General features: G+C 46.5%; 1 pseudogene, besides 1 other annotated feature; it reads left to right on the plus strand.

The window, feature by feature from the left end:
* Positions 6,093 to 6,875: an enhancer, noted in NCBI's record as "OCT4-NANOG hESC enhancer chr14:103731158-103731940 (GRCh37/hg19 assembly coordinates)". NCBI's record gives its function as "activates a minimal SCP1, AML or CMV promoter by ChIP-STARR-seq in primed H9 embryonic stem cells {active_cell/tissue: H9 hESC(primed)}" and the evidence as "EXISTENCE:reporter gene assay evidence [ECO:0000049][PMID:30033119]".
* RAP2CP1 (RAP2C pseudogene 1) lies at positions 20,495 to 21,227 on the plus strand (annotated as a pseudogene).

A 21,290-nucleotide genomic window follows, 5' to 3' on the forward strand; every position in this document is an offset into this window, starting at 1 on the left:
AGTGGAGGGGAGGGTCCATGTAGTCAGACCAATACTCCCACTGAAACCAGATCATATGGTGGACTCAGTGTTTTAATGCTGTGGTTTTGGCCAGGCATGGTGTCTCCCATCTGTAATCCTGGCACTTTGGGAGGCTGAGGCAGGTGGGTCGCTTGAGCCCAGGAGCTCGAGATCAGCCTGGGCAACATAGCCAGACCCTGTCTCTAAAAAAAAAAAAGTTTTTAATTAGCCGGGTGTGGTAGTGCACACCTGTAGCCTCAGCTACTGGAGAGGCTGAGGCAGGAAGATGGCTTGAGCTCAGCAGGTCAAGGCTACAGTGAGCCATGGTCACACCACTGTACTCCAGCCTGGGCAACAAAGAGAGATTTTGTCTCAAAAAAAAAAAAAGTGTCTTTTTAAAAAACTGGAATGCTGGCAAGATAATCACCAGACCCAATGGAAGGGAAGCAGGACTCTGTGGGGTCAGCCAAGCAGGAGGACCCAGGAGAGTTTAGGGGGTGAATGAGAACATTGATTCCCATGGGCTCTGGGGGAGGGAAAACAACACAACCCTTGGGTCCTGGAGTGGGGTGTCTACGGGAAATCCCCTCCACGCTGTACTGGGCGCACAAAGGGAGTTCGCCCAGAAGCACGTGCACAGCCTCTGGGGCGGGCGCCTGCATTGCACCCCTCAAAATATTGCTACCATGATGTGCAAGGACAAGGTGGGGCACAAAGGTAGCCAAGCACCAAAGACAGAAGCCAGGACAAAGAGGGGCTCCAGACCACAGAAACATGCCCACCGGGCGGCAGAGCAGGGGACAGACTCTGTGCCCCCGTACTTCTATTCCATGTCCTGGGTCTCACCTCACACCTTTCTTGCAGTTCATGTGTCTCTCACTGTGTCCACAATGATATTCTACACATCCAGAAGGGTTTGTAGTAATTATAGGGTTTTTTGTTTCTATAACTCATATTTATTTATTTTTATTGGTACACAATAATTGTACATATTTATGGGGTACGTGGGATATTGTAATACATGCATACAATCTGTAATGATCAGATCAGGGTATTAGGATATTCATCGTCTCAAATGTTTGTCACTTTTTTTTTTGAGATGGAGTCTTGCTCTGTCACCCAGGCTGGAGTGCGGTGGCACGATCTCAGCTACTGCAACCTCTGCCTCCCAGATTCAAGTGATTCCCCTGCCTCAGTTTCCCAAGTAGCTGGAACTACAGGTGCGCGCCACCATGCCCAGCTAATTTTTGTGTTTTTAGTGGAGACAGGGGTCTCGCCGCATTGGCCAGACTGGTCTCAAACACTTGACCTCAAGTGATCCACCCGCCTTGGCCTCCCAAAGTGCTGGGATTATAGGTGTGAGCCATGTGGAGGAAAAGTTAAATATTAAATTTGAACTCCATTGAACTTGAACACAAGGAATGGTTATGTGCCAGTAAATAGCCTCTGGGCATCTGCCTGGGAGCTAATAACCTATACTGATTGTTCTGGTAAGGTACATTTTCTACCTTAAGGCAAACAAACAACAGAATCTACAGAATAGGCTAACCTTCCTGTATTCCCTGAGTCCAGTCATGAAGGGCCCTCGTGCCTGGGGCTCAGGCCAAAAAAGGAATACTACAAAAGGGTGAGGGTCCCAGACCCCGCCGAAGCTCCGCAAGAACTCTCCTCGTCTGTGCGCGGACGGGCGGCCGACTCTGGAGCCCAGGCTGCTGCTTCCCTGTCTGGTGATGCTTCCTCCATAGTCCAGTGGGTGTAAATATATACAGATATATCTTTTCTTGTCCCTTTCCCACTGTGATTTGCTTATTATATTTGTGTTGCCATATACTTGGGATGAAGGCTGTTTGCCCTTAAAAGTATCGTGTGTGCCTTTTCTTCACCCCCCGGGCATTTCCCACACAGAAACTTTTGGTATCAGGAACAGGATTCGAAAACGAAAGTATGCCACTTTCCAGTCGCAGGGACTGGGCTGGAGGCTCGGGGACTTCCCACATCCCGGGATGGGAACTTCCCCAGTTCTCCCCCTCGGCGACTGAATAGTCCAGGGGAACTGGCTTTTGTGAAAATTGGGAATCTAAGTTAGTGCATTTTGAACTGTTGGCTGTGTGTGAGGTGCTGCAGGAAATTCTAGTTTGATAAGGGGATGCCGAGGGAATTTCCTGGCATGGATGCTGCTTGCTTACTGCTTATAAGTTAATGTGTCAAGATAGGGACCGGTTGCTACAAAAGAAATGTAAGCTGGAAAAGGAAAATGCTAATTTGACTTCCAGACTGGCCCTGGCCCAATGCCAGGCCTATGTCTTGACTGATCAAGCTCAAAGCTAGTAATGCTTCCTCCATAGTCTGGTGGGTGTAAATATATATAGACATAGCTCTTCTTCTCCCTTTCCCACTGCGATTTGCTTATTATGTCTGTATTGCCATATACTTGGAATAAAGGTGTTTACCCTTAATAGTATTGTGTATTGTGCCCTTTCTTCTCCCCTCTCGCGTCTCCCACACAGAACAATGTCCAGCAGTATTTTTTAGTAACTACAGTTTTTTTTCTAGAATTCATATTTATTTTGTTGGTACACAATAATTGTACATATTTATGGGGGACATGGGATATTGTAATACATGCATACAATTTATAATGATCAAATCAGGGTATTAGAATATTCATCACCTCAAATATTTGCCATTTCTATGTGTTGGGAACATTTCATATCTTCTCTTCTAGCTTTTTTTTTTTTTTTCCTTGAGATGAAGTCTTGCTCTGTCTCAGACTGGAGTGCAGTGGCGCGATCTCGGCTAACTGCAAACTCCGCCTCCCGGGTTCAAGTAATTCTTTTGCCTCAGCCTCCCAAGTAGCTGGGACTACAAGCATACACCACCACACCTGGCTAAGTTTTGTATTTTTAGTAGAGATAGGGTTCCACCGTGTTGGCCAGCCTGGTCTCAAACTCCTGACCTCAAGTGATCCACCCGCCTCGGCCTCCCAAAGTGCTGGGATTACAGGTGTGAGCCATGGTGCCTGGCCATCTTCTAGCTATTTTGAAGTATACAAGAAATTATTTTTAATTATACTCACCCTACTATGCTATCAAACACTAGAACTTATTCCTTCTAATTGTATGTTTGTACTCAGTAATCAATCTCTCTTCATCCCCACGCTGCACCTTTCCCAGCCTCTGGTAACTTATCTTTCTACTTTCTATCTCTATGAGATCCACTTTTAAAACTCCCACATATGAATGAAAACATGCAATATTTGTCTTTTTGTGCCTGGCTTATTTCAATTCACATAATAACCTCCAGTTCCATCCATGTTGCTGCAAATGACAGCGTTTTATTTTTTATGGGCAAATAGTATTCAAATTGTATACACATACACATATATATTCATCTGTTGCTGGACATATAGGTTGATTCCGTATCTTGGCCACTGTGAATAGTGCTGCACTAAACATGTGAGTGCAGGTATCCCTTTGATATACTGATCTCCTTTCTTTTGGATAAATATCCAGGAGTGGGATTGCTGGATCACATGGTAGTTCTATATTTAGTATTTTGAGAATTCTCCATACTGTTTTTCATAATGGCATGCTAATGTTCATTCCCACCAATGTTGTATAAGAGTTCTCTTTTCTCCGCCACCTCACCAGCATTTATTTGTTGTCTTTTTGAAATAGCCATTCTAACTGGGAGGAGATGATATCTCACTGTGGTTTTAACTTGTAATTCCCTGATGATTAGCGATGTTGAGCATGTTTTCATATACTTGTGGGTCATTTGTATGTCTTCTTTTGCTAAATGTCCATTCAGATCATTTGCCCATTTTAATGTGGTTGTTTTTTGGCTGTTGAGTTGTTTGAATCCTTGTATCTTCTGGATATTAGTCCTTTGTCAGATGAATAGTTTGCCTTCATTATGTTGAGGTATGTTCCCTCTATACTTAATTTGTTGAGAGTTTTTATCATGAAGGGATGTTGAATTTTATCAAATGCTTTTTCTGCATCTATTGAGATGATCATATAGTTTTTATTCTTCATTCTGTTGATGTGATATATCACATTTATTGATGTGTATATGTTGAACCACCCTTGCATCCCTGGAATAAATCCCACTTGATCATGGTGTATTATCTTTTTGATGTGTTGTTGGATTCAGTTTGCTAGTATTTGTTGAAGATTTTTGCGTCTATGTTTATCAGAGATACTGGCCTGTAGTTTTCTCTTTCTTCTTTTGTCATGTCCTTGTCTTATTTTTGATATCAGGGTAATTCTGGCTTCATAGAATGAGTTAGGAAGAATTCCTTCCTCTTCCACTTTTTGGAATAGTTTGAGAAGAATTGATGTTACCTGTTCTTTATAATTTTAGTAAAATTCAGCAGTAAAACCATTTGGTCCTCGGCTTTTCTTTGTTGGAAGATGTTTCATTACTGATTCAATCTCATTACTCATTATTTGTCTGTTCAGGTTTTCTGTTTCTTCCTGGTTCAATCTTAGTAGGATATATATATTCAGGACTTTATTTCCTCTAGGTTTTCCAATTTATTAGTGTATAGTTGTTCATAACAGTCTCTAATGATCCTTTGTATTTCTGTGTGTTCATTGTAATGTCTCCTTTGTCATTTCTGATTTTATTTGGGTCTTCTATTTTTTTTGTTAGTATAGCTAGTGGTTCATCAATTTTTCTTGTATTTTTTAAAAACTAACTTTTTGTTTTGTTGATCCTTTGTATTGATTCTTCATCTTTATTTTGTTTAGTTCTGTTCTGATTTTATTTCTTTCCTTTGGTTGATTTTGGGTTTTATTTGATTTTGCTTTTCCAGTTCCTTGAGGTACATCATCAACTTATTTATTTGAAATCTTTCTATTTTTTAATATAGGCTTTTATTGCTATAAACTTCTCTCTTCACACTGCTTTTGCTGTATCCCATAGGTTTTGGTATGTTGTGTTCCTGTTTTCATTTGTTTTAAGAAATTTTTGGATTTTTATCTTAATTTCCTCATTGACCCAGTGGTCATTCAGGAGCATGGTGTTTAATTTACATGAGTTTATATAGTTCCCAAAGTTCCTCTTGTTATTGACTTCTAGTTTCATTCCAATGTTGTCTGATAAGATATGTGATTGATTTTGACTTTTTAAAATATTTTGAGGCTTGTCTGTGGCGTAACATATGATCTGTCCTGGAGAACGATCCATGTGCTGATGAGAAGAATATATATTCTGCATCTGTCAGGTAAAATGTTCTGTAGATGTGTGTTAGGTTCATTTGGTCTAAAATACAGTTTAAATCTATTTTTTTTGGTTGATTTTCTGTCTAGATTATTTGTTCAATCCTGAGAGTAGGGTGTTAAATTCCCTAACTATTATCGTATCGGAATCTACCTCTCCCTTTAGAACTAATAACATTTACTTTATATATCTGGGTGCTCCAGTGTTGGATGCATATATATTAAGAACTGCTTTACCATCTTGCTTAAATTGATCACTTTATCATTATATAATGACCTTCTTTGTCTCTCTTTATAGTTTTTGACTTAAAGTCTGATTTATCTAAGTATAGCTATTCCTGCTCACTTTTGGGTTTCATTTGCATAGAATATCTTTGTTCATCTCTTCACTTTCAGTCTATATGTGTCTTCACAAGTGAAGTGAGTTTCTTGTAGGCAACATAGAGTTGGGTCCTGTACTTTAATCCATTCAGCCAGTCTATACATGTATATCTATATTTTTTGAGACGGAGTTTCTATCTTGTTACCCAGGCTGGAGTGCAGTGGCACGATCTCAGCTCACAGCAACCTCCTCCTCCCAGATTCAAGAGGTTCTCCTGCCTCAGTCTCCCAAGTAGCTGGGATTACAGGTGTCTACCACCTTGCCGGGCTAATTTTTTTTTTTTTTTTGTATTTTTAGTAGAGACAGGGTTTTGCCATGTTGGCCAAGCTAGTCTTGAACTCCTGGCTTCGGGTGATCTCCCTGTCTCGGCCTCTCAAAGTACTGGAATTACAGGCATGAGCCACTGCACCTGGCACAGTCTATATTTTTTAAATGGAATAGTTTTTTTTTAATGTACAGAGTCTCACTCTGTCACCCAGGCTAGAGTGCAGTGGCACAATCTCATCTCACTGCAACCTCTGACTCCCGGGTTCAAGTAATTCTCATGCCTCAGCCACCTGAGTAGCTTGGATTATATGCATATGCCACAACGCCCAGCTAATTTTTGTAATTTAGTAGAGACAGGGTTTTGTCATGTTGGCCAGGCTGGTCACAAACTCCTGGCCTCAAGTGATCCGCCCACCTTGGCCTCCCAAAGTGCTGGGATTACAGGCATGAGCCACTGCACCCAGCCTTAAGTGGAGAATTTAATCCATTTACTTTCAAAGCTATTATTGATGGGTGAGTACTCATGCCTGTTATTTTGTTAACTGTTTTCTCATTGTTTTGTATATCCTTTCTTCCTCCCTTACTGTTTATCATTGTCATGTGGTGGTTTTTCATAGTGGAAACATTTGACTCCTTTCTCTTTCTCATTTGCATATCTACTCTACCAGTGAGTTTTATACTTTCTGTGTTTTCATGATGATAGGTATCTTCTAGATGTTAGACTCCCTTAAGCATTTCTTATAGGACCAGTCCAGTGGCAATTAGTTCTCTCTGTTTTTGCTCATCTGACAAAGACTATTTCCCTTCATTTTTGAGGGATAGCTTTGCAGGCTATACTATGCTTGACTGGCAGGTTTTTCTTTCAGCATTTTGAATGCATCATCACGTTCCCAGCTTGTGAGGTTTCTTCTGGGAACTCCACTGTTAGTCTGATGAGTATTCCCTTATATGTGACTTGACACTTTACTCTTGCTGTTTTTAACATTCTCTCTCTCTCTCTTTCTCTCACTCTCTCTCTCTCTTTTTGAGACAGGGTCTAACACTGTCACTCAGGCTGAAGTGCAGTGGTATAATCATGGCTCACTGCAGCCTCAACTTCCTGGGCTCAAGTGATCCTCCTGCCTCAGCCTCCCAAGTAGCTGGGACTACAGGTGCATGCCACCACACCCAACTGATTTTTTTATTTTTGTAGAGATGGAACTTGCTCTGTTGCCCAGGCTGGTCTTGAACTCCTGGACTCAAGTTAACCTCCCACCTCAGCCTCCCAAAGTGTTGGGATTACAGGCATGAGCCACCATGCCCAGCCTCTCTTTGCCATTGACATTTGACAGTTTGACCATAATGTGCCTTGAAGAAGACCTTTTTGTTGTGTATTTGAGAATCTTAGAGCTTCCTGTATCTGGATGTCCATATCTCTTGTAAGAGTTGGGACATTTTCAGCTCTTATATCATTAAAAAGGTTTTCTACACTTTTGCCCATCTCTTCTTCAGGAACTCCAAAAAGTTGAATATTTGGCAACTTACGGTGTTTCATATATCATATAGCCTTTCTTCTTATTTTTTACTGTTTTTCTTTTCTTTTCTTTTTTGAGACAGGGTCTTGCTCTATCACCCAGGCTAGAATGCAGTGGTGCAATCTGGGCTCACTGCAACCTTCATCTCCCAGGTGCAAGTGATCCTCCCACCTCAGCCTCCCAAGTAGCTGGGACTACAGGCATGCACCACCACACCTGGCTAATTTTTTGTAATTTTTGTAGAAATGAGGTTTCGCCGTGTTGCCCAGGCTGGTCTCACACTCCTGGGCTCAAGCAATCTACCCACGTGGCCTCCCAAAGTGTTGAGATTACAGACATGAGCCACCACACCCAGCACTCTTTTATTTTTTGTTTGACAAGGCTATTTCAAAAGCCGTGTTTTCAAGTTCCAAAATTATTTCTTCTGCTTGATCTAGTCTATTGTTGAAGCTCTTGATTGTTTTTATTTTATTTTATTCTTCAAACCTGGAACAGAATTCTTCAGTTCCAGGATTCCCATTTGGCATTTTTTAATGATGGCTCTGTTTTTTTTTTTTTTAACTTTTTTCATTTATATCATGAATTGTTTCCCTGATTTCCTTTTTTCTTTTTTTTCTTTGAGATGGAGTCTGGCTCTGTCACCCAGGCTGGAGAGCAGTGGCATGATCTTGGTTCACTGCAACCTCTGCCTCCCCGGTTCAAGTGATTCTCCTGCCTCAGCCTCCCGAGTAGCTGGGATCACAGGCATACGCCACCACACCCAGCTAATTTTTGTGTTTTTAGTAGAGATGAGGTTTCGCCACATTCGCCAGGCTGGTCTCGAACTCTTGACCTCCAGTGATCCACCCGCCTCAGCCTCCCAAAGTACTGGGATTACAGGCTTGAGCCACTCCCCCGGCCCCTGATTTCTCTGTATTGTTTATCTTTGCTGTCTTGTATCTCACTGAGTTTTTAAACTTATTTTGAATTTTTTTGAGCATTTCATCATTTCTTTAGGATCTGTTCCTGGAGAAATATTGTGTTCCTTTGGAGGCGTCACGTTTCCTTTGTGTGTGTGTGTTTCTTGTGTCCTTGTGTTGATATCTGCGCATCTGGTGTAACAGTCATTTCTTCTAATTTTATGGATTGGCTTTTGTAGGGAAAGACATTTTCCTGTAGATACACCGATAATGTTGGTTGGTATTGTAGTCTGTTCTCACATTGCCATAAAGAACTGCCTGAGACTGGGTAATTTATAAAGAGGCTTAATCGGCTCACGTTCCCACAGGCTGTCCAGGAAGCACGGCTGGCTAGGCCTCGGGAGACCTTCCATCATGGTGGAAGGTGAAGGGGAAGCCGGCACATCCTTTGAGGCTGGAGCGGGAGGAAGAGGGTGAAGGGGGAGGTGCCACACACTTTTAAACAACCAGATCTTGTGAGAACTCAGTCACTATCACGAGAACAGCAAGGGGGAAATCCGCCCCCTTGATCCAATCACCTCTGTCCAGACCCCTCCTACAATTTAACATGAGATGTGGCTGGGGACACAAATCCAAACCATTCCATTCTGCCCCAGCCCCTCCCAAATCTCATATCCTTCTCACACTGCAAAATACAATCATCCCTTCTCAACAGTCCCTCACGTCTTAACTCATTTCGGCATTAACTCAAAAGTCCACAGTCCAAAGTCTCATCTGAGACAAGGCCAGTCCCTTCCACCTATGAGCCTGTAAAATCAAAAACAAATTAGTTACTTCCAAGATACAATGGGGGTACAAACATTGACTAAATACTACCAATCCAAAAAGGCAAACTGGCCAAAACAAAGGGGCTACAGGCCCCATGCAAGTTTGAAACCCAGCAGGGCAGTCATTAAATCTTAAAGCTCCAAAATAATCTCCTTCAACCCTGTGTCTCGTATCCAGGCCACATTGGCTCAAGGGGTGGGCTCTGCCCTGTGGCTCTGCAGGATGCAGCCCCCACAGCTGTGGTGGCAATGGGGAGCCAGGTGTGCTGATTTGCAGGCCCCTGGGTGGCATATGCAGGTGCTAATGGTGGTGAGTCCAGATAGGCCAGTCCTTGGGCCTCCAGCTTGCTCAGGCGCCACCAGTAGGCAGGGCAGGTGGGCTCCTGGGCAGTGTGTGTGGCAACAATGGTGGCAGAAGTGATGGTGGGCCAACCCTGGAGCCATCAGGCAGCATGTAGCAGTTGGGTGCTTTTCCATCCATCCCAATCACGGAAAATTCCCGATTCCTGTAGAATTAAAGGAGAATTACGAAGAGAATATCAAGATATGCAATGACAGAGCCTTCTGGGTGTAGCTGCTTCCAGCTACGGGGTTTACGCAATAGAGATATGACCAACAACAATTAGCATCACTTCAGAAAAAGTACTAAAGAGACCACAGAAAGCTTTGTGGAGGCGCTGGCTCACACCTGTAATCCCAGCACTTCGGGAGGCCGAGGCAGATGGATAGCTTGAACCCAGGAGTTCAAGACCAGCCTGGGCAACATGGCAGCAACATCCCCTCTCTACAAAAAAATTTAAAAATTAGGGCCAGGAGCGGTGGCTCACCCCTGTAATCCCAGCACTTCGGGAGGCCACGGCGGGTGGATCCCGAGGTCAGGAGATCAAGGCCATCTTGGCCATCATGGTGAAACCCCATCTCTACTAAAAATAGAAAAAATTAGCTGGGCATGTGCTTGTAGTCCCAGCTAATCGGGAGGCTGAGGCAGGAGAATTGCTTGAACCCGGGAGGTGGAGGTTGCAGTGAGCCGAGATCGTGCCACTGCACGCCAGCCTGGCGACAGAGCAAGAATCTGTCTCAAGAAAGAAAAAAAAAATTAGCCGAGTGTGGTGGCACATGCCTGTAGTCCCTACTACTTGGGAGGCTGAGGTGGAGGATCACCTGAGCCCGAGAGATTGAGACTGCAGTGAGCCGAGTTTGCACCACTGCACTCCAGCCTGGGTGACAAAATGAGACCCTGTCTCAAACAATGAATAAATAAAAGCTTTGCAGCCCAACTAAAGTCTCCAGATTCCTTACTTTAAATGGTTTTAGCAAAATGCTTAGGTTTTATATAGCTAATTGCTTAGGTTTTATATAGCTAATTGCTACAAATGTAACTAAAACCAAGATTGCAGTAGCTCAATGTATAGAACTTACAGATAAGCCAATTTTGTAACCTTGCATTTTGGCTTTGGTTTTTGGCTCTTACATTGCTTAAAGTTTTTCAGGTTAATGAATGTCTGGCTGCCTCCATTCCCATCTGGCCTAAAATGTTTAATTGACTGCAAGTCTTTTGGCTGTAAGACCCTTGGCCATGGGGTTCCGCCGAGGGCCTGGATGGACCTGGGGCAGGGAGCCACACCACCCTGGCAACGATATGGGACAAAATTAAAGTTTAGCCACTGATGCTGCCTCTGGAAAATCTTGACCAAAGTGAGGAAAAGAGACATAAAAATTATATCCTAAGCCCCCAACCAACTGAACTGAGCCCTTCTTGGCCAAGGGGACCCCAGAGATACCTTGAAAACTGAGTTCCAGGCCATGATGGGAACGCAGGTCAGACACGGGAGGGCAGGTCAGACACGCTCCCCTTTCCCTCTCCAGCTGCCCTTAGGCTTTCTCCCCTGCGGACTGCGGTCCACAGACCCCACCCCGACATCAACCAGACTCTGACGCTGCCGCTTCCTTTTGCATTTTCAATACAACCTTACCAACCAGCATCCCCTCCTGATAAGAGACCACCGACCTCAGAGTGGTTCTGGCCAGTCTACGGAGGATGCACAGTGAGGGTTTTCTCTGCTTCCCCTTTTGACATCAGAGGCCCAAAAACTCCACCCTTGGACCATGTGAAGGCTACCATTTTTTGAACGTGGGTCCCATGGAGAGGCATGAAGCTCAACTGTGTATGTTCATATTTCTCCTCTCATAAATATTCATGGATCCTCCTAAAGCTTATTGAATATGTATATTTGGCCACCCTGGTCAATATAAATCCCTGTGTTACCATTCCTACCCTCCAAATATCTGTTTCTAGCTTCCAGCCAGAGGCTATGCTTCCCAGCCTGTCAGAACGGCCACCTTCAGGCTGCAACCCTTTAGGAGGAATAAAGCTATCCTTTCCAAACTAGAAAAAAAAATTACTTGTGGGAGTACTTTGGGTTTTGGGGGGTTGTTTTGAGACAGAGTCTCGCTCTGTCACCCAGGCTGGAGTACAGTGGCGTGATCTCGGCTCACTGCAACCTCCGCCTCCCGGGTTCAAGTGATTCTCCAGCCTCAACCTCCCAAGTAGCGGGGATTACAGGCACATGCCACCACCCCTGGCTAATTTTTGTATTTTTAGTAGAGACGGGGTTTCACCATGTCAGCCAGGCTGGTCTCAAACTCCAGACCTCGTGATCCGCCTGCCTCAGCCTCCCAAAGTGCTGGGATTACAGGTGTGAGTCACCGCGCCTGGCCCAGCAATTCAATATTTTTAAGATTTTTAAAAATATGTATTTTATCCAGTTAGTTGTTCTCATTGGGAAATAGTTTAGCCCAGAGTTACTGGAGACAAGAGTTTTACTCCATGCCTGTCCCCCACCTGATTGCCTAGCTGGAAATAGAGGTCTTTGTTTTTATGAGCTGCCTGAAATCCTAAACAGAAGGAAGTGCCACTCAAAGCTTCCTTTTATAACCAATCCATATCCCAAACTGGCATATTTGGGGGTGGCATTTCCTGAACTTCAGTGTTAAGGATTTCTGCCACAGATGAAGGGGGTGTTCTGCCTGGGGGGTGTCAGGTCGCAGGGCCTGAACACCCTCTTCCCAGCCACCATCTGGGGAGACAGTTCTGCTTTCCAGGTGTTACTGAAAGTACTGAAATTCTTGTGGGGAAACTGAAGAACTGCCTGAGGCCTAAAAGACATACAGCCAGTCCCCGAAAGGAGTGTTGAGGACTGAAGTCTTGCCGGGTCTCAGCGCAGTGAAAGGTTTTTTGGTGTTTGTTTCTTTGTTCATTTTGAGGGGACCTTTTATTCTACCACAATATCACACACAATATAAACTGAATACCAGGGTCCTCCACAAGCCACTGCGCGGGCTAGCATTTTCCCTCGACAAAGCTAGGAAGCTTATACAGATAAAAGTTAGTTTTGAGTTTTCACATTTGATTTTGAAAAATGTTCAAATGCCTAAGGCAGAACTAAAGTCTCAGCTCTGCGAGTCCATGGGCTGTAGAGAATAATAATGCCTGGAATTCACATACAGACACACACACACACACACACACACACACTCCCACACACACCCCCCCACACCCCCCCCACACACACAACCCCCCCCACACACACACACTTCCCACACACACCAAAGCCAAACACCAGCAACCTTCCCAAGGTTTTGTTTGTTTGTTTTTGAGACGGAGTTTCACTCCTGTTGCCCAGGCTGGAGTGCAATGGCGCGATCTCGGCTCACAACAACCTCCGCCTCCTGGGTTCAAGTGATTCTCTTGCCTCAGCCTCCCAAGTAGCTGCGATTACAGGCATGTGCCACCATGCCCGGCTAATTTTGTATTTTTAGTAGAGACAGGGTTTCTCCATGTTGGCCAGGCTGGTCTTGAACTCCCGAACTCAGGTGATCCGTCCACCTCAGCCTCCCAAAGTGCTGGGATTACAGGCCTGAGCTACCACACCCAGCCAATTCCCAAGGTTTTACAAACACAGCTAGAAAGGCAAACAAAAAGAGCATCTTTTCTTTACATAATTTCATTCTGTTTAACATTTGCATTATTGTCAAAATATTCAGGTGTTCAGGGAAAAAATGTTGCTTCAATAAACTACAGGGGAAATAATGCTGTTAGTTGTAGAAGCTGATTTTGCTCCATTCTGACAAAAAAAAAAAACAACACCTTTTGAAAGTACAGGGACATTTCAGCAAGTAGGTCAGGCATTTTATATATGTAAATGAAAAAAAAAACAAATCCACCCAGAAAGCTGCAATTCTAGGTTGTAAATGAATCTAAAACGTGTGAAAAACTGTTCAGTTCAGTGCCCTGAAATCTATTTCAAACATAACTGTAACTCTTACAACATTAAGGCTTAGGTCACTGCCAGGCACAGTGGCTCACGCCTGTAATCCCAGCACTTTGGGAGGCCAAGGCAGGAGGATCACCTGAGGTCAGGAGTTCAAGACCAGCCTGGCCAGTATGGTGAAACCCCGTCTTTACTAAAAATACAAAAATTAGCCGGGCGTGGTGCCGCGTGCCTGTAGTCCCAGCTACTTGGGAGGCTGAGGCAGGATAATTGCTTGAACCCGGGAGGGGAGGCAGAGGTTGCAAGGAGCCCAGATCGCACCACTGCACTCCAGCTTGGGCGACAGAACTAGACTCTGTCTCAAAAAAAAAAAAAAAGTATAAGGGTCACATCATACACAAAAGAGAACACCCATCTCTACAGGAGTGCCGGCTCCAGAGTCTTCGGGGTCTCAGAGAAGACCCAGAAACAAGGTCTCCACGAATTAAAGCACCATCAGGAGAGAAAGACCATCCGGATATAGTCAATCAGTGCGAGGCAGCCACATACACAAGTAACCCTTGTTTAAGCGTCAGTGTACGCATTTTCGGTTACATCTTATACGGCACTATGTACGTGAGTAACGCTTAGCTTCAGTTTAAAAAATACAAGGACGGACACTGATTAAGAAAAGCAATTTTTGGCCGGGCGCGGTGGCTCACGCCTGTAATCCCAGCACTTTGGGAGGCCGAGGCAGGCAGATCACAAGGTCAGGAGATCGAGACCATCCTGGCTAACATGGTGAAACCCCGTCTCTACTAAAAATACAAAAACAAAATAGCCAGGTGTGGTGGCGGGCGCCTGTAGTCCCAGCTACTCGCGAGGCTGAGGCGGGAGAATGGCGTGAACCCGGGAGGCGGAGCTTGCAGTGAGCTGAGATCGCGCCACTGCACTCCAGCCCGGGCGACAGAGCGAGACTCTGTCTCAAAAAAAAAAAAAAAAAAAAAAAAAAAAAAAAAAAAAAAAAAAAAAAAAGGAAAGAAGGAAAGGAAAGGCAAGGAAAAGGCAAGGAAAAGGCAAGGCGGCGCAAGGCGGGGCAAGGCGAGGCAAGGCAAGGCAAGTGGGGCCTGTCCTCCACCTGGGCTCCAGCGGTGACACAGGACGTCCCGCCGCTTCCAGCTTCCGCGTACCTGCGCGCACACCGGGTCCCCCGCGGCCTCGCCCTCGTCCATGACCTCCAGAGCCCCGCGCCGCGCCCCCGCCCGATCCGCGGAGGCCTCCAAGCAGCCGATGCCCTCGCCAAGCCTGGGTGGTCCAGAAGGACGCGCCCGCTCCGGGGCGCAGAGCTCTTGAGGTCGTGGGCGGGCGCAGGGCCCCGGCGGATACTTGGCAGAGGCTTGGGGTCGTGGCGGGGGCGCCTCCCTTCCGGTGCGCGAAAAAGCAAACGCGACGCGCGGGCTGCAGAGACTGGGCCGGGCGGAGGAGACCCCCAGCCTGGGTTGAGCGGGGCGGATCTGGGACTCCGAGGCTTCCTACGTGGGGCGGGTTCCCAGCGGACGCCTCTGCCGCACCCCTGGCGGGGACCCAGCTGCGCCCCTTCCCGCGGCCCTCCTAGGGCCTGGGTGCTTGGAGGCTCGAGGCCCCAAGATCCATGTCGCCCGGAATCCCGGTGCCTAGGCCTTGTCGCGGGCCCTGGGACCAACTCGCGGGGGTCAGGAGCTGGGGGTTGAGAGAAAGATGATCAGGTGGGTTGGAGAAAGGAGACGCTTCCCGCTGGGCGAGTGAGCCCAGGACGCGGCAGAAGAGGGCAGACCCTAGGGGACCGCCGCGTCCCCAGGCGCGCACGCGACCCCTCCCCGCGCCGAAAATCCTCTCCCCGCCTCAGTCTCCCCGCCTCCGCCTCCCCACCCATAGTGTCACTCCGACCCTAGCCCTGGGTCCAAACGGGCAGGAGAGGTCGCTGGTGCCTCCGCGGTCCCCGCCGCGCGCAGAACTCGGCCGAGTGCACCGGGGTCTCCTGGCCTCTGCGCGCAGCTGGTCCTGCAGCGTCAGGACCCGAACGACCCCGAGGCCCCAGGGGCTGGGCCCTCCAGCAGCCCCGCAGCAGCCCCGCAGCAGCCCCGGCAGGCACCCTCCAGCGGCCGTGGGCGCCTGGTAGCTATGGAGGCGGTAGAGGTGGAAACCAGGCCTCTGTCTTCACACAGGAGGAACTCCAGGCCCTCGTTTAGGACTCCAGGCCAAAGGCTGTGTCAGCCGCGGGTCCCCCGCCACCCCACGCGCACAGGCGCAGGCCTCACACCGCGTGCCCGACGACGCCCCGAGGGGCCCCGGTCGCAGTTAGTTTGAAGGGAATCGGTGGTACAGATCGTGGCTTGGAGAACGCGGCTTGACCTGCGGCCAGAATCAGACTCATTCCGAACACGCGGCGGCCCTGGCCCAGCTGGCCCCTCCCACGCTCCCGCGGGGATTCTCCTGCAGCCGGAGCCCCTCCCCCCACTCGTGCCCTCTTCCCATCAAGCCCTGGTCCCCAGGTGACCGGCATAGGAGACTCCTGTCCCTTCAGGCGAAGCCCAGCGCCTCCCTCTTCGGGTGGTCTCGCCTTTTGGCTTCAAGAAGTCAATCTCAGACAGTCTAGTTTGTTCAGCTTGCATGAATTTTAAGGTATTTTAAGAGCACTTTTCTTTATATTTTGATAACATTTATTTCTTAAAATTACAAATGCAGTATATTCTGGTTTTGAAATCAGTTCATAGTAGGAGATGTTCAAACAAAAGAATAACCAAACAACCAAGTAAATTACTGAGTCGATCATGGGAGCCACCATTTTTTCTCCAGCCTTTTTTTTTTTCCAGAATGCCTTTTCCTACCAGATTTTATATAATTTAATGTTATCCCTCCCCCCAAATAATTTTTAATAAAAATCAAAAAGAACCACCATCACTGTTTACAACTTGTTTTTTAAAAATATTGAAAACCACCCCCTACCTCCACCCTCCACTTCCAATCCCCCAGGAGTAACTAGTAGTAACATTTTCCAAATATACATATCTATATTGATAAATATGTGACCTTATTTTACATATTCTTATGAGGTGACTGTTCAGGTCTCTTGCCCATTTTTATATTCAGCTGTCTTTTTCTTATTGGTATGTAGTTCTTTCTATATTCTGGATAGGAATACTTTGTCAGTAATATTGGACTGCAAATCTCTTCTCCAACTGTGCAGTTTGCCTTTTTACTCTGTCAATGGTGTCTTTTGATTAAGAGAAACTCTCAGTGTTAACATAATCAAATGTATTATCCTTTCCTTTATGATCAATGCTATGGTCTATGTAATAAGCACTTCTCTTCCCAGAGTTCATGAAAATCTTCTGTTATGTTATCTTCTCTAACCCTTGTTGCTTTGCCTTTTGCAGCTAGAGCTACCATATATCTGGATTTTGTTTTTGTATATTAAGTTTTCTTTGTGTCCACCATCTGTTGATCAACCATCCTATTACATTTGTTGAAAGGACCATTCTTCCCCTACCATCATTAGGCAGTGCCCTCTCTGTTCTATTTGTCTGTCTTTCTACACTATTTGCTGTCGCTTTATTGTAAATCTTATAACTTTATTGTAAATCTTGATGCCTCTGGTGGACCAAAATCTTCCCACCTTATTATTCTTTTTAAAGAATATTTTGCCTAACTTTGGTCCTATGCATCTCTATACAAGCTTTAGAATCAGCTTGATGGACTGCAATCAAAATACTTGCCAGAATTTGATTAGGATTACATTGAAGCAAATTGGTTTCAGAAAAATTAACATATTTTAAATATTGAGTCTTTTAATCCATGAACATGTTTGTCTGTTTCTCTTTAATCTATCACAATAATGTCTCATAGTTTTCTGCATAGAAGTCATGTACATCTTTTGTTAGATTGTTACCTAGGTATTTGCTGTCTTTTGATGCTATTAAAATGCATTTTTATTTTGCTCTTGCTTGTTATTTTTGTATTGTTGGTCTATAGAGTTGCAAATGATTTTTATGTGTTGGCTTTGTAACCAGCAACCTTGTTAAACTCTCTTATTCATTTTAACAATTTATGCCAGGCACAGTGGCTCATGCCTGTAATCTCAGCACTTTGGGAGGCCAAGGTGGGAGGACTGCTTGAGCCCAGGAGTTCCAGACTGGCCTGAACAACATAGTGAGACTCAGTCTCTACAAAAAAAAAAAAAAAAAAAAATTAAGTTAGCCAAGCCTGGTGGCACACGGCTGTGGTTCCAGCTACTTTGGAGGCTGAGACGAGAAGATCACTTGAGCCAAGGAGGTCGAGGTTGCAGTGAGCTATGATCGTGCCACTGTGCTCCAGCCTGTGTGACACAGCAAGACTCTCTGTCTCAAGAAAAAAAAGAAATACTAGATTTTTCACCTGGTTAGATGATTAAAAAACAAAGAAGAAAGAAAAAGAAAATGTAAAAAGAAAAAATTATTAGACATTTTTATATTTTCAATGAACATATATCAGCTACATAATGAGAGTATTATGCCTTTTGTTTCTTTTCCTGGCCTTAGTCACATTGTTGAAAACCTCAGTGCAGCGTTAAGTAGAAGTGGAGATAGTGGGAAACTTGACAAAAGTGTGTATAATATTTATTATGTACGGTATGATATTTACTAGAAACTTCCTGTATCTATCTTAAATAGACTGAGGACATTTTCTTTTATTCCCAGGTGGCTAACAGTCTTTTTGTCATGAATGGATGTTGAATTTTATCAAATGCTTTTCCCACAGCTACTCAGATGGTCATATGATTTTTCTTTTCTATTCTTTTACATGACCATTTAAATTTATTTTTAGCATATTAAGTTAATCTTACATCCCTGTGTTAAAGTCCACTTAATCGTAGTGTGTTATCTTTTTTAATTTAACACTGAATTTATTTTATTTAGGATTTTCACACCTGTGAATGTGTGAGTGTATGTGAGACTGGCCTGTAAATTTCCTTTTTCATGATGTCCTTGTCTGATTGATAGCAAGGTTACCCTGCTCTCATAAAACAAGTTCCCTCTTTTTCTAGTCTCTGAGAGAGGTCTTTTCTTTTTTGTAAAATGAACTCTTTTTTTCTCCCTTAAATGTTTGTTACAATTAATCAGAGAAGACATTGGAACCTACAGCTTTCATGTGGGAAGTTTTTAATTATATACTCAATGTATTTAATAGATATGGAACTATTCTGATCTGTTACTTTAATTTTAGCTTAATTAGTTATATATTTTAGGAGTTTTTTCTTTTCATCTAAATTTTCAAAGACCCAACATCTGGCTTTGTTGATCCTCTCTGTTCTTGTTTTCAAATAATTTGTGCTTTATTTTATTTTTTCTTTTCTTTTCTTTTTTTTTTTTTTTTTTTTTCTTGCTAGAGACAGGGTCTTGCTCCATTGCCCAGGCTGGAGTGCAGTATCAGAATCTCAGCTCAGTGCAGCTTTGACATCCTGGGCTCAAGAAATCCTCCCACCCCAGCCTCCAGAGTAGCTGGGACTGGGACTACAAATGCATACCACCTTGTCCAGCTAATTGTTATTTACTTTCTTCTACTTTATTTGGAATTAATTTACTGGATATTTTTCTTCCTTTTTTTTTTTTTTTTTTTTTTTCGAGACAGCCTAGGCTGTCGTCTAGGCTGCTGGAGTACAGTGGCACAATGACAGCTCACTGCTGACTTGACCTCCCTGGGCTCAGGTGATCCTCCCACCTCAGCCTCCTGAGTAGCTAGGACCACAGGCATGCACCACCATGCCCAACTAATTTTGTATTTTTTGTAGAGATGGTGGTGTGGTTTGGCCGTGTCCCCACCCAAATCTCATCTTGAATTGTAGTTCCCATGATCCCTGTGTGTCATGGGAGGGACCCAGTGGGAGGTAATTGAATCATGGGGGCGGTTACCTCCATGCTGCTGTTCTCAGGATAGTCAATGAGTTCTCACAAGAGCTGATGCTTTTATAAGGGGTTTCCCCCCCTTTTGCTCAGCACTTCTTCCTGCCCCCATGTGAAGAAGGACTTGTTTGCTTCTCCTTCCACCATGATCGTAAGTTTCCTGAGGCCTGCCCAGCCCTGCGGAACTGTGAGTCAGTTAAACCTTTTTCCTTTATAAATTACGCAGTCTCGGGTATTTCTTCATAGTAGCGTGAGAACAGACTAACATAGACGTGGTCTCACTATGTTGCCAGGGCTGGTCTCGAACTCCCTGGGCTCAAACGATCTACCCACTTCAGCCTCCCCAAGTGTTGGGATTACAGGTGTGAGCCATCTCACCCTGCCTCCTTTCGACTTCTCGAGATGAATATTTATCTCACTGATTTTTTTGGCTCCTCTTCTTTTCCATTATAAAAAATGTGAAACTGAAATTTGCCCCTAAAAATGGCTTTAGCTGCTTCTCACAGATTTGATGTATGCTTGTTTTTCCTTTTTTTCTTTTTTTTTTTTTTTCTTTTGAGACGGAGTCTCGCTCTGTCGCCCAGGCTGGAGTGCAGTGGCGCGATCTCAGCTCACTGCAAGCTCCGCCTCCCGGGTTCCCGCCATTCTCCTGCCTCAGCCTCGCGAGTAGCTGGGACTACAGGCGCCCGCCACCACGCCCGGCTATTTTTTGTATTTTTAGTGGAGACGGGGTTTCACCGTGTTAGCCAGGATGGTCTCGATCTCCTGACCTCGTGATCCGCCCGCCTCGGCCTCCCAAAGTGCTGGGATTGACAGGCCTGAGCCACCGCGCCCGGCCAACTTGTTTTTCTTTCTCACTGGAGCTGGTTCCAGATTAGATCTGGTCGGACCCGGCAGGCACCTGGCGGGCACTGTGCGGGCAGGGAACCAGGGAGAGCAGGAGGGCGCGGGTCCGGGCCAAGGCTGGCGGGGGTCGCCGCGGCGCGACCGCCTCCTCCGCCCCGGCTCCGTGGGATGCGCGTCCGCCCTCCCAGGCCCCTTCCTCCCGCCCTCCCCCGCCCCCCGTTTTCCTCCCCTCCCCTCCCGACCCGCCCCAGGCCAGACCCCCGCGCGGGTCCTCGCCCTCCCAGGACCCTTCCTCCCTCCCCTCCCCTCCCCGCCGCGTCCCGGACCCTGCGGGCTGGTCCCGCGCCCCGCCAGGGCTGCCGGGGTGTGCTGCTGGGGAGCGTGGAGTGGGCAGGACCACGCTGGACACGCAGTTCGCGTGCGGCCGCTCCCCGAGCAGTGCGCGGCGTGGGCGGAGGAGCGGCTCCGCGAGGAGATCGAGGCGAACGCGGCGCCCGCGTTGCTGGAGGTCGTGGACGCGGCGGGCGCCGAGCACCTGGTCACGCTCCAGGACCTGGACATCCGCCACGGCGACGGCTCCGCGGTGCTCCCGGGCGTGTGCAGCGAGGCCTCGTTCCGGGCCGTGAGGCCGCCGAGCAAGCGCCTGCGCCGGCCGTGGGAACCCGGGGCCGTCCCGCGGGTGCTGGTGGGCACCCAGGCCGACCCGGACGACGGGCGCCAGGTGCTGACGGCGCGGGGCCGCGAGGGGCGCTCCCCGTTCCCGGAGGTCATGGCCAAGAGCCAGCGGATGGTGGACCGGGTGTTCATGCAGGCGGTGCGCGAGACGGAGGCCTTGGTCCCGCCCGAGGAGGAGGTGGAGTGTTGGGAAGTTTTCTGTTGTCCCCTGGACTCCATCCAGAAAAAGATGGCCCTGGTGGCAGCCTCGAAGCGCGGGGAGGGAGGCTAGGACTGGGGCCGCGTCGGGAACTGAGCCTGCCGGGACGCTTCTAACCCGCGCGCTGCCTCGAGTCCCTCCGGTGCCCAGGCCTTGTTCCCCAAGACCCACGGGTGCAGAGCAGAAGCGCGGCCCCAGCGCCCGAGGCCTGAAAGCTGTTCTTTACCTTCGCAGCTTTCCAAGTTACTATAATAGGTAAAAGGCAAGGGCTAACGTCTTAAGTATTTA

This window comes from Homo sapiens, chromosome 14, assembly GCF_000001405.40.
Source record: "Homo sapiens chromosome 14, GRCh38.p14 Primary Assembly".
NCBI classification, from domain to species: Eukaryota; Metazoa; Chordata; class Mammalia; order Primates; family Hominidae; genus Homo; species Homo sapiens.